The sequence below is a fragment of the Homo sapiens genome, chromosome 9, assembly GCF_000001405.40.
Source record: "Homo sapiens chromosome 9, GRCh38.p14 Primary Assembly".
Taxonomy (NCBI): Eukaryota; Metazoa; Chordata; class Mammalia; order Primates; family Hominidae; genus Homo; species Homo sapiens.
In genome coordinates this window covers 30218499-30219646 of record NC_000009.12, presented here as the reverse complement: position 1 = coordinate 30219646, position 1148 = coordinate 30218499, and positions in this window count along the sequence as shown.

The following is a 1148-nucleotide window of genomic DNA, read 5'->3' as shown; positions in this document are numbered from 1 at the left end:
AAATAGTATTGATATATTTTGGAAATTAAAATAGAGAATGTCTATTTAAATTTGAATTTCAGATGAGCAACAGGTAATTTTAGTATAGGTTTGCCCCATGTAATATTTGGAACAATTTTATACTAAAAAATTATATGTTATAGGAATTACATGTCGTTTTTCAGTGTTTACTTTTTGAAATACAAATTTAACTGGGTAATCTGTAATTTGCCTGACAACCTAATATAAATCCAAAAATCAATTAATTTTTAAGAAATTCTGCAAACTCAACAAATCACTAGCAAATTCAAAAAAGAAAATAATTAGCTCTTCTTGTTGCATTGATCCCTTTACCACTATGTAATGCTTTTCTTTGTCTTTTTTGATTTTTGTTGGTTTGAAGTCTGTTTTATCAGAGACTAGGATTGCAACTCCTGCTTTTTTTTTTTTTTTTTGCTTTCCATTTGCATGGTAAATATTTCTCCATCCTGTTTTTTTGAGCCTGCGTGTGCCTTTGCACATGAGATGGGTCTCCTGAATATAGCACACCAATGGGTTTTGACTCTACACAATTTGCCAGTCTGTGTCTTTTAATTGGGGCATTTAGCCTGTTTACATTTAAGGTTAATATCATTATGTGTGAATTTGATCCTGTCTTTATGATGCTAGCTGGTTAGAAAATGTGGCCCATATACACCGTGGAATGCTATGCAGCCATAAAAAAGGATGAGTTCATGTCCTTTGCAGAGACATGGATGAAGCCGGAAATCATCATTCTCAGCAAATTAACACAAGAACAGAAAACCAAACAGCGCATGTTCTCACTCATAAGCGGGAGTTGAACAATGAGAACACATGGGCAGAGGGAGGGGAACATCACACACCGGGGCCTGTTGTGGGGGTTGGGGGCTAGGGGAGGGATAGCATTAGGAGAAATATCTAATGTAGATGATGGGTTGATGGGTGCAGTAAACCACTATGGCACCTGTATACCTATGTAACAAACCTGCACGTTCTGTACATGTATGTCACAACTTCAAGTGTTAAAAAAAAAAAAAGAAAAAGAAAATAAACTACAAGATAGAAACTTGAAATTGGCAAAAAGGGATAGCAATCAAAAAGAAGAAATTATAATATTATAAATTTACTTTTACAATCTAACTAAACAG